The following is an 11,385-nucleotide window of genomic DNA, read 5'->3' as shown; positions in this document are numbered from 1 at the left end:
TCCTGTGACTTTGCTGAGGTTGCTTATCAGCTGAAGGAGTTTTGGGGCTGAGACGATGGGGTTTTCTAAATATACAATCATGTCATCTGCAAACAGAGACAATTTGACTCCCTCTCTTCCTATTTCAATACCCTTTATATCTTTCTCTTGCCTGATTGCCCTGGCCAGAACTTTCAATACTATGTTGAATAGGAGTGGTGAGAGAGGGCATCCTTGTCTTGGTCCGGTTTTCAAAGGGAATGCTTCCAGTTTTTTTCCCATTCAGTATAATATTGGCTGTGTGTTTGTCATAAATAGCTGTTATTATTTTGAGATACATTCCATCAATACCTAGTTTATTGAGAGTTTTTAGCATGAAGCGATGTTGAATTTTATCGAAGGCCTTTTCTGCATCTATTGAGATAATCATGTGGTTTTTGTCATTGGTTCTGTTTATGTGATGTATTACATTTATTGATTTGTGTATGTTGAACCAGCCTTGCATCCTCGGGATGAAGCCGACTTGATCGTGGTGGATAAGCTTTTTGATGTGCTGCTGGATTCAGTTTGCCAATATTTTATTGAGGATTTTCGCATCAATGTTTTTCGAGGATATCCTTGAGTACCTAATTTTTAAAAGTTTCTTTGACTTAGCATCTAAATAAGGTCTGCATTATGATTAATTTATAGTGTTTAAGTTTTTTAATTTATAGGTTATCTTTCTTTTTTTGAAATTATTTATTTGCTGCAGAAACTAGGTCATTTGTCCTGAAGAGCTTCCCACAGCTTGGATTTTCCCACGTATGATGATATTTAACATGTTCTTTTGTCATTGTTGCCATCGTCACTGTTCCTCCTCCTCTTCTTCCTTCTTCTTCCCTCCTCTCCTTCTGTCCCACTTTCTCTCTTTGTTTAACAAGAATACTTTATTGGAGGCATTTTGTTCTTCTATCAGAATGTATGTTATGTCTTGTAGTCTCTTTTTTTCTGTGATGTTAGCAGGTGTTGATAGTCAATGCCTACATTTATTAATTCTCTGTATGTTGCAAAATGGATGATATGCTTTTCTTCTAGAGTGTTTATAGTTTTGGGTTTTACATTTAAGTCTTTAATCCATCTTGAGTTAATTTTTGTATAAGGTGTAAAGAAGGGGTCCAGTTTCAATTTTCTGCATATTGCTAGTCAGTTCTCCCAGCACCATTTATTAAGTAGGGAATCCTTTCCCCATTGCTTGTTTTTGTCAGGTTTGTCAAAGATCAGATGGTTGTAGGTGTGTGGTCTCAGTTTCTGAGTTCTCTATTCTGTTCCATTGGTCTATGTGTTTGTTTTTGTACCAGTGCCATGGTGTTTTGGTTACTGTAGCCTTGTAGTATTGTTTGAAGTCAGGTAGTGTGATGCCTCCAGTTTTGTTCTTTTTGCTTAGGGCTGTCTTGGCTTTACTGGCTCTTCTTGGTTCCATATGAAATTTTAAGTAGTTTTTTTTTTTTTCTAATTCTGCAAAGAAAGTCACTGGTAGCTTCATGGGAATTGCATTGAATCTAAAAATTACTTTGGGCAGTATGGCCATTTTCGTGATATTGATTGATTCTTCCTATCCATGAGCATGAAATGTTTTTCCATTTGTTTGTGTCCTCTCTGAATTCCTTGAGCAGTGGTTTGTAATTCTCCTCATAGAGATCTTTCACCTCCCTAGTTAGCTGTATTCCTAGGTATTTTATTCTTTTTGTGGCAATTGTGAATGGGAGTTCATTCCTGATTTGGGTCTCTGCCTGCCTGTTGTTAGTGTATGGGAATGCTGGTGATTTTTGCACATTGATTTTGTATCTTGAGACTTTGCTGTATTTGCTTATCAACTTAAGAAGCTTTTGGGCTGAGACGATGGGGTCTTCTAGATATAGGATCATGTCATCTGCAAACAAAGTTAATTTGACTTCCTCTCTTCCTATTTGAATACCTTTTATTTCTTTCTCTTGCCTGATTGCCCTGGCCAGAACTTTCAATACTATGTTGAATAGGAGTGGAGAGAGTGTGCATCCTTGTCTTGTGCCAGTTCTCAAGAGGAATGCTTCCAGTTTTGGCCTGTTCAGTATGATATTGGCTGTGGGTTTGTCATAGATGGGTCTTATCATTTTGATGTATGTTCCTTCAGTAGCTAATTTATTGAGACTTTTTAACATGAAGGGATACTGATTTCTATTGAAGGCCTTTCCACATCTATTGAGATAATCATGTGTTTTTTGTCTTTAGTTCTGTTTATGTGATGAATCACACTTACTGATTTGCATAAGTTGGACCAACCTTGCATCTAGGGGATGAAGCCTACTTGATTATGGTGAATAAGCTTTTTGATGTGCTGCTGTATTCAGTTTGCCAGTATTTAGTTGAGGATTTTTGCATTGATGTTAATCACAGATATTGGCCTGAAATTTTCTTTTTTTATTGTATCTCTGCCAGGTTTTGGTATCAGGATGATGCTGGCCTCATAAAATGAGTTATGGAGGAGTCCCTCCTTTTCAATTGTTTGGAATATTTTCAATAGAAATAGTACCAGCTCTTCTTTGCACTTCTGTTATAATTCAGCTGTGAATCTATTTGGTCCTGGGCTTTTTTTTTGGTTGGTAGGCTATTTATTACTGCCTCAATTTCAGAACTCATTATTGGTCTATTCAGGGATTCAATTTCTTCCTGGTTCAGTCTTGGGAGCGTGTATCTCTGCAGAAATTTATCCATTTCTTCTAGATTTTCTAGTTTATGTTCATAGAGGTGTTTATAGTTTTCTCTGATGATTGTTTATATTTCTGTGGGGTCAGGGTGATAAACCCCTTATCATTTCTAATTGTGTTTATTTGATTCTTCTCTTTTTTCTTCTTTATTAGTCTAGCTAGTGGTCTATTTTATTAATTTTTTCTTTTTTTAAGCAATTTATTTATTGAAGGCGAGGCAGGAAGCGGGGAGGGAGGGCAAGGGCGACCTCTCTTCCTCACAGGGACCAGGCCTTGTTTCTCTCCCAGATAAGCTAAGGTTGGCAGGGGCTGAGGGGAGTGAGGCAGGGAGGATGCATGGGGTCTGTGGGAGCCAGAGAGAAGCTGGAGTCAGGTAGGAGCTGGGGCTGTGGGGGGGTGAAAGGTGAAGCAAGGTCAAAGGTGAACTGCAGCTCGGAGGGAGGGGTGCAGTGTAAACCAGGACTTATAGGTGGAGAGGTAAAATGAGATTCGTAGGGGGTGAAAGAGAAGTTGGGGTCAGAGGGGATTCACGGGTGAAAGAGAAGTTGGGGTTAGAGGTAGGAGCTGGGGCTCAGGTCGGGGGTTAAAGGTGAGGCAAGGTCAGAGGTGAAGTGCAGCTCAGAGGGAGGGGTCAAACATAAGCCAGGACTTATGGGTCTAGAGGTAAAATGGGATTCATGGGGGGCAGGGGTCAAAGGTGAAGCAGAGGTCAGGGGTGAAAGAGGGCCCTCAAAGTTAAAGGTGTGGTTTCCAGAGTCAGAAGGGGTGAAGCGGGGCTCCTCCTAGGAATGTCAAGGTTGGAAGAGCTCAAGGGGGTCAAAGATAAATTAGGGCTCAAGGGTCAATGGGGAGCCAGGGTCGGAGATGAAGTAGCCAGAGGTAAAGCGAGCTCCGAAGGTATTGTTAGGGTCAGGGTGAAGTCTTAGGGTCAGGGATGAGTCAGGCTTGGAGGGAAAGCGGGGGTCTAGGGGTCAGAGATGGAGGGCCTAGGGGGTCAAAGGTCAGAAGCCTCGAGGGGACAGACAGGAAGCGATGGGAGCAGCCTAGGCCACCTCCTCCTCGGCCTCCTGCTTGAACTCGCCCTCCTCGGCTGTGGCATCCTGGTACTGCTGGTACTCAGATACCAGGTCATTCATGTTGCTGTCAGTCTCGGTGAACTCCATCTCGTCCATGCCCTCGCCTGTGTACCAGTGCAGGAACGCCTTGCACCACAACATGGCCGTGAACTGCGCAGAGATGCACTTGAACAGCTCCTGGAAGTCTGTGTTGTTGCTGATGAAAGTTGCGGCTATCTTCAGGCCGTGGGGCGAGATGTCGCACACGGCCGTCTTCATGTTGTTGGGGATCCACTGCACGAAGTAGCTGCTGTTCTTGCTCTGCAGGCTCAGCATCTGCTTGTCCACCTCCTTCATGGACATGCGGCCCGGAACACGGTGGCCATGGTCAGGTAGCGGCCATGTCGCGGGTTGCACATGGCCATCATGTTCTTGGCATCGAACATCTGCTGTGTGAGCTCAGGCACCCTCAGGGCCTGGTACTGCTGGCTGCCCCGGCTGGTCAGGGGTGCGAAGCCAGGCATGAAGAAGTGCGGGCAAGGAAAGGGGACCATGTTGACGGCCAGCTTGTGCAGGTTGGTGTTCAGCTGGCCCAGGAAGCACAGGCAGGTGGTGACTCTGCTCATGGTGGCTGACACCAGGTGGTTGAGGTCCCCGTAGGTGGAGGTGGTCAGCTTGAGGGTGCGGAAGCAGATGTCATAGAGTGCCCCATTGTTGATGCAGTAGGTCTCATTCGTATTCTCCACCAGCTGGTGCACAGACAGTGTGGCATTGTAGGGCTCCACACCGTATCTGACACTTTGGGCGAGGGCACCATGCTGAAGGTGTTCATGATGCGGTCTGGGAACTCCTCACGGATCTTACTGATGAGCAGTGTGCCCATCCCGGACCCCGTGCCACCCCCCAGCAAGTGCGTCAGCTGGAAGCCTTGAAGGCAGTCGCAGTTCTAGGCCTCCTTCTGGACCACGTCCAGGACAGTGCCTACCAGCTCTGTGCCCTCCGTGTAGTGCCCCTTCACCCAGTTGTTGCCGGCTCTGGACTGGCCAAACACGAAGTTGTCCGGCCGAAAGATCTGACCGAAGGGGCCGGAAAGGATAGAGTCCATGGTGCTGGGTTCCAGGTCCACCAGCACCGCTCTGGGGACATAATTTCCTCCTCTGGCCTCATTGTAGTACACGTTGATCCTTTCCGGTTGCAGGTCACTGTCCCTATAGTATGTGCCTGTGGGGTCGATGCCCATGTTTGTCACTGATAACCTCCCAAAACTTGGCCCTGATCTGGCTGCCACACTGGCCGGCCTGCAGGTGCATGATCTCCTGCATGGTGGTGGTGCTGAGGGTGGATGTGGCGGAGGTGGCGTGAGCGTGGGGAGCTGCAGCGGCGTGGGTGGAAGATGCTGTGGAGACGGCGGAGCACTATTAATTAAAAAAAAAAAGGCTCCTAGATTTGTTGATTTTTTTGAAGGGTTTTTCATGTCTCTTCTTCAGTTCTGCTCTGGTCTTGGTTATTTCTTGTCTCTGCTAGCTTTGGGGTTTGTTGCTCTTGGTTCTCTAGCTCTTTTAGTTGAGATGTTAAGTTCTTAACTTGAGATCTGTCTAGATTTCTGATGTGAGTGTTTAGTGCTGTAAATTTCCCTCTTAATATTGAATTAGCTGTTTCCCAGAGATTCTGGTACATTGTCTTTTTGTTCTCATTAGTTTCAAATTGCTTCTTGATTTCTGTCTTAATTTCATTATTTACCCAAGAGTCATTCAAGAGCAAGTAATTCAATTTCCATGTAGTTGTGTGGGTTTTAGTGAATGTTTTTTTTTTTTTTTTTGAGGTGGAGTTTCACTCTTGTTGCCCAGGCTGGAGTGCAGTGGCATGATCTCAGCTTACTGCAACCTCTGCCTCCCGGGTTCAAGTGATTCTCCTGCCTCAGCCTCCCTTGTAGCTGGGATCAGAGGCATGTGCCACCACACCTGCCTAATTTTGTATTTTTAGTAGAGATGGGGTTTCTCCATGTTGGTCAGGCTGGTCTCGAACTCCCGACCTCAGGTGATCTGCCTGCCTCAGCCTCCCAAAGTGCTGGGATTACAGGCGTGAGCCACCACACCTGGCCTTCTTTGTCTTTTTTGATCTTTGTTGGTTTAAATTCTATTTTGTCAGAAACTAGGATTTCAACTCCTGCTTTTTTCTGTTTCCCATTTGCTTGGGAAATTTTCCTCTATCCCTTTATTTTGAGCCCATGTGTGTCTTTACATGTGAGATGGATCTCTTAAAGACAGCATACTGATGGGTCTTGGCTCTTTATCCAGCTTTCCATTTGCATAATTATTTTCAATTGGTTTCTTTGTAAGAATCTATTCAAGCTCTTTACCCACGTTTTAAGGACTGTTTTATTTAAAACTAGATAGTATAATTCACAATCCTCTTATGATTTGCAGATAAACAACAATTCATGGCAATCTTCTGAAAGATAGTGAAGAGGTGAGACCACCACTGAAACCCACTCTGTTTTGTGGAATTCTCACTCTTCTCCCTGGAGACCTCATGACTGTGATATATGAACTGAGAGAGGGCAGTACTGTCAAAACATACATGGAAGAGAATTTAATAAAAGAGAGCTCTGTGTACCTATCATCCTGAATTCACATATGCTAATAATTTATGATACTTGCTTTGAATTATTTTATTTATTAAATAAATAAAATATTATAGATAGAGGTCAAGTCCAATTTGTACTTCTTCCTAATCATTCTCTTCATTCTCAGAAGAACCATATCCTGAAGTTGGTGGACATTCTTCTCATTCATTTTCATGTATTTAATTTTACTACATATATATATATATATACACATAGACAAAAATCTGGTATGATTAATGACTATCTTTTGACTTTATGTAAATGTTTAAAAATGTATATAAATCTATCACTCTTTACAAAGAATTTGACAACTTCCTCACCATTATGTTTGTGAGATTCACCCATGTTAATACTTGTAACTCTTCTTTCAACAGTTACATATTATTACATTTTATGAATATATACATTTTGCCTATTCATTCACCTCTTCTTGAATATTTACATTGTTTTCATCTTTTCATTGTTTCAAACAAAGCTGCGATAAACACGTTTCCTTGAGCATATGTGTAAGAGTTTTTCTTTTTTTTTTTGTTTGAGACAGTCTTGCTCTGTTGCCCAGGCTGGAGTGCAGTGACTCGATCTGGGCTCACTGCAACCTCTGCCTCCTGAGCTCAAGTGATCCTCCTGCCTCAGCCTCCCAAGTAGCTGGGATTACAGGTGCGTGCCACCATGCCTGGCTAATTTTTGTGTAGAGACGGGGTATCGTCATGTTGGCCAGGCTGGTCTCAATCTCCTGACTTTAAGTGATCTGCCAGCCTTGGCCTCCCAAATTGTTGGGATTACAGGAGTGAGCCACTGTTCCCGGGCCTGAGTTTTTCTAGAGCCGTAGTTCTCCAACTGTTTAATTTTACTCTTAAAAATTATTGAGGACCCCAAAGAGCCTTTGTTTATCTGAGTTAAATATACTATTATTTACTGTATTAGAAATTAAAATAGAAATTAAAAATATTTAATTATGTATTAATTTAAAAGTGATAATACATCAATTACAAGTTAGCACAAATTATTTTATGAAAATAACTATATTTTTCAAAACAAAAACATTTAGTGAGAAAAGTAACATGGGCTTATATTTTTTGCAAATCTCTTTGATTTCTGTCTTAATAGAAAAGAGCTGGATTCCCTTATCTGTTTCTGCATTCACTCTTCTGTGATATATTGTTCTGGGTGAAATATAGAAAGTCCTATCTCACACATATGTGTAGTTGGAAAAGACAGGAGTTTTTAAGTAGTCTATGCCGATAATTGTGGATGGTTTTTGATATTATACCAAAATTGGACAATTGGAAGTTTCTTGGAGGTTAGTTCCAAAATGCAAACTGAAACTATATCAATGAACTGTTTGTGTTTTTATACATGAAAATCCATTTGCCTATCCTCACCTGGAGTGGAATTTTTACCTATGAATGATTTTGTAGCATCATGCATTCATTATTTTAAAAATATTGCTTCACTGAGTTATGCAAACCTTTCCAAATATTGACATATTTCATGATACAATATCACATTTGTTACTATCACCATTGATCTTATCAGGAAAGTATTTATGTTTCAGAAAGCTGTACAGCTTATGGTGGCAGACTCAAGTTTTCTTTTTTTTTTTTGTAAGTTTCAAATATTTATTAATGAGTGTAACCTCCTACACAATACATCAACATGATTTCATGCATTTAGAGGATAAAAATTTCCTAGTTAAGTGGAAAATTGTGGAGATGGCTTCTGGAGGACCTTCATTCTAAAGCAATTTTACAAGACCTTCTTTCTTCGGTTTGCTGTAATCCACATTACCTGAGTAGAGCTTGTATTGATCATTGGGACCCAGTTTGTTCCAGGGCTCTGGGTCATTCTTTCTGTCCCAAGTAACATCTGGATTGAACAATGCTGGATATAAAACATACAGTGCTGCTCCAGTACCTCCATCTCCAATAAACTCAGAGGAGAATCATGCTCAGATGCTTCTTGGCTTGATTGAGGATCTGGTAGAGCATGTTTGCAGCAGCGGCCTCTGATTCAAAAGAAGTGAACAAGCCTAGCTATCAGGCCCTGGACTAAGTAGTATCTACTACAAGTTTTCTAAAACTCTAATTTTTACATGAAAACTTGAATTTTGTAATTGACAAATAATGCTGTCAGTTGTTTTCCTTGAAGTGACAGCCTCACTTTGTTAATTTTAGAGAAACATCTGCCCAAAATCCAAGTCTGAATAACCAAAGTTTGTCTGTCAGTAATTCTTTTAACTACCAATGGTGTTTCATGAAAAGAGTTACTTTTAAATTGCACAAGTGTTTGTCTTCGAGGCAGTGATTATACTTCAAGATGTAGCAGAAGTGCTTTATGCATATTTTCCATTTGTCATACAAAATATTTAAAAACCGTGTTTTCAAGGGTCAATATTTATAACATGAATACTTTTCACTGCTCCATATAAGACAAGTGCAACTGACGTTTTTAATAAAACAGCATATGGTGGTAACAAACACAATGCCTACTAGTACTATTTTGTGGCACTGCTTCAATTTGTGCTAAGGCACCGGTAGTCTTATCCACTGTATTAGTTTCCTAGGGCTGCTGTTACGAACTACCACGAATTTGGTTGCTTGAAACAACAGGCATTTATTCTTCTTTAGTTCTGTAGGTCAGAGGTCTGAAATGAGTTTCACTGGGCAGAAATCAAGCTATCAGCAGGGCCCACTCTTTCCAGAGACTCTAGGGGAGAGTCTGTTTCCTTGCCTTTTCCAGCTTCTGAAGCTGAATTTCTTACATTCCTTGGCTCATAATCCCTTCATCTTCAAAGCCAGCAGTATAGCATCTTGCTTTAGCCATTATGTTGCCTTCTTCTGTTCAAATCTCCCTCTGCCTGTGTTGTGACCATCCTAAAGAAAAAGAATGGATGCCCACCTGAAAATTGGTTTGGATGTCAGGACTGATGATGCCACACACATACCAAGAGGGTATAAAAAGATTTACTGCTTACATAATTGAAGCTTTTCTGGGGAGAGCAGGGCAGCCCTCCCAAGCAGATTTGAAAAGGACTTGAGAGCCAGGAAAAGAAACTAGCTTGAATATTTTAAATTGTGATTAGGGAATGGGAAAAACTTTCAATGTAAAAGGCTAGATAGTAAAAATTTTAGGCTTTGTGAGCCATAAAATCTCTGCCATAACTACTGAACTTAAAATGTAAAAGCATCCATAGACAATCAATAAATAAATGGGTAAACATGTGTTTCAATAAAACTTTATTTATGGATACAGAAATTTGAAATTCATATAATTGTCATGAGTCGAAAAATATTCTTACTTTGATTTTTGGCCAGCCATTAAAAAAATGTACAAACCACAAGTTCAAAAGTTATATAAAAGCAGATAATGAATAGGATTTGGCCTGCGGGCTTAGTTTGACAACACCTGGATTAGTGTTTCACAATAGATGGGAGAAATATTACGTTTCTTTAATGATACATGAAACATTTCCACCACATATTATCTCATTTGATCTTTAGAACAACTGTGAAGTAGATATCCTCATCATACTCATTTTACAGATGAGAAAACTGAGGCTCAGATATCTTCATAAGGCAGTGGCTCTAAACCCTGGCTGTACATTGGAATTATCTGGGGGGCTTTTAAAGAATATCAGGCTTCACCCCTTGAAATTCTGACCTAATTGGTGTAGGACCATGGCTCTCAAATGGGGACAATTTTGTTTCTCCTCCCCCAGGGGACATTTGGCAATGTCTAGAAATATTTTTGGTTGTAACAACTGAGAGAGGAGTGTTGTGATACTGGCATATAGTGGGTAGGGTCCAGTGATGCTTCTAAGTATCCTGCAATGGACAGGGCATCCCTTCACAACAAGTATTACCCAGCCTAAAATGTTAATGGTGTCAAAGCTGAGAAATCCTAGTCTAGGCCAGGGCTCAGGCATTGGTTATATGAAAATCTCCCTAAGTGGGTTCCCAGGTGGTAGTTTAATATCTATATTCTCTCTGTAGTATGAGGGCTCAGTGATAACTTGGCTAATTCATGTCAATAGACAATTGTGAATTTTCAAGAAAAGACAATTCTAGTTCTTTACTGGCAACTTTTTTTTTCTTCAGCTGCTAATAAGATTTTAAATAGACAGGATTGAGCTCTTTGTCCTTTGTTTTATTTGGTCCACTCTGTGGAGTAGTGTTGAGAGCACCAAAGTCATAGAGGAGCTCTCCTAGGTAACAGGGTGGTTTGAGTGAAAGAAGCAACACCTATGTATTTACTTGAAGAGCTCCTGCTCTGAAACCCTTGGGAATCTGATTGGCTTAGGAAGACTGGAAGCTTTCCAGAAGGATACGGCTAATTGTTGCTTTCAAAGGAGATGCACATGTGTGAAGGCCTGAAAGGTATGAATATGGGGAAAGAAAATGTAGAAATTCTAACTTCTTCCAGTTCAGGCTAATGAGATGTGGTGAGACCCAGGGAATTAGTGGAGGTCATTAGGGTGTGCAAAAAGCAATCAAAAGAGATACTGGAAAGATTTATAATGCGATGATTCAAAACAACATAATGCAAAGGGAGAAAGAAAATACTGTGTAGGTCAATGTTTCTCAAGGTATAGTCCTTGAATCAGCTACAGCAGAACTACGTAGGATACTTGTGAAAAATGCAGATTTTTCAGACCTTGCTGAGACCTTTTGAATCAAGATCAGGGTGAAGCCCCAGAATCTGCATGTCTAACGGGCTCTCCAAATGTTTCTGATGTACACTATAGTTTGAGAAGCACTTTTATAGGCAGAACTCTTGCTCTAACTGGAGGATGATCAAGATGACCGCGTAATCTGAAATAAAGGCGTCCCTTGTCTTAGAAAAGCATGTTTTCCTGAGAAGTAGTGTGTTAATGGAAGTTTCACAAGTTGACTTTTATTGTAATTGCACTAGGGGGGCTCATTATTACTTAAAAGAAGCCAAAGGTTAAGATGTTCACAGAGTGAATGTTCGTATTCAATTGATCGTTTAAAATGTAGGGGAT

At 41.0% G+C, this 11,385-nt stretch overlaps 2 pseudogenes, besides 1 other annotated feature; both read right to left on the bottom strand.

Annotated features, from left to right (window-relative positions):
• Positions 1-3,249: 3,249 nt before the first annotated feature.
• On the bottom strand, positions 3,250-5,173 carry TUBB4AP1 (tubulin beta 4A class IVa pseudogene 1; annotated as a pseudogene).
• Positions 4,250-4,750: an enhancer, noted in NCBI's record as "H3K4me1 hESC enhancer chrX:122695822-122696322 (GRCh37/hg19 assembly coordinates)". NCBI's record gives its function as "activates a minimal SCP1, AML or CMV promoter by ChIP-STARR-seq in naive H9 embryonic stem cells {active_cell/tissue: H9 hESC(naive)}" and the evidence as "EXISTENCE:reporter gene assay evidence [ECO:0000049][PMID:30033119]".
• LOC107985645 (cytochrome c oxidase subunit NDUFA4-like) lies at positions 8,119-8,371 on the bottom strand (annotated as a pseudogene).
• Positions 8,372-11,385: the final 3,014 nt, after the last annotated feature.

This window comes from Homo sapiens, chromosome X, assembly GCF_000001405.40.
Source record: "Homo sapiens chromosome X, GRCh38.p14 Primary Assembly".
NCBI classification, from domain to species: domain Eukaryota; kingdom Metazoa; phylum Chordata; class Mammalia; order Primates; family Hominidae; genus Homo; species Homo sapiens.
This window is presented reverse-complemented; position numbering and strand designations above follow the sequence as displayed.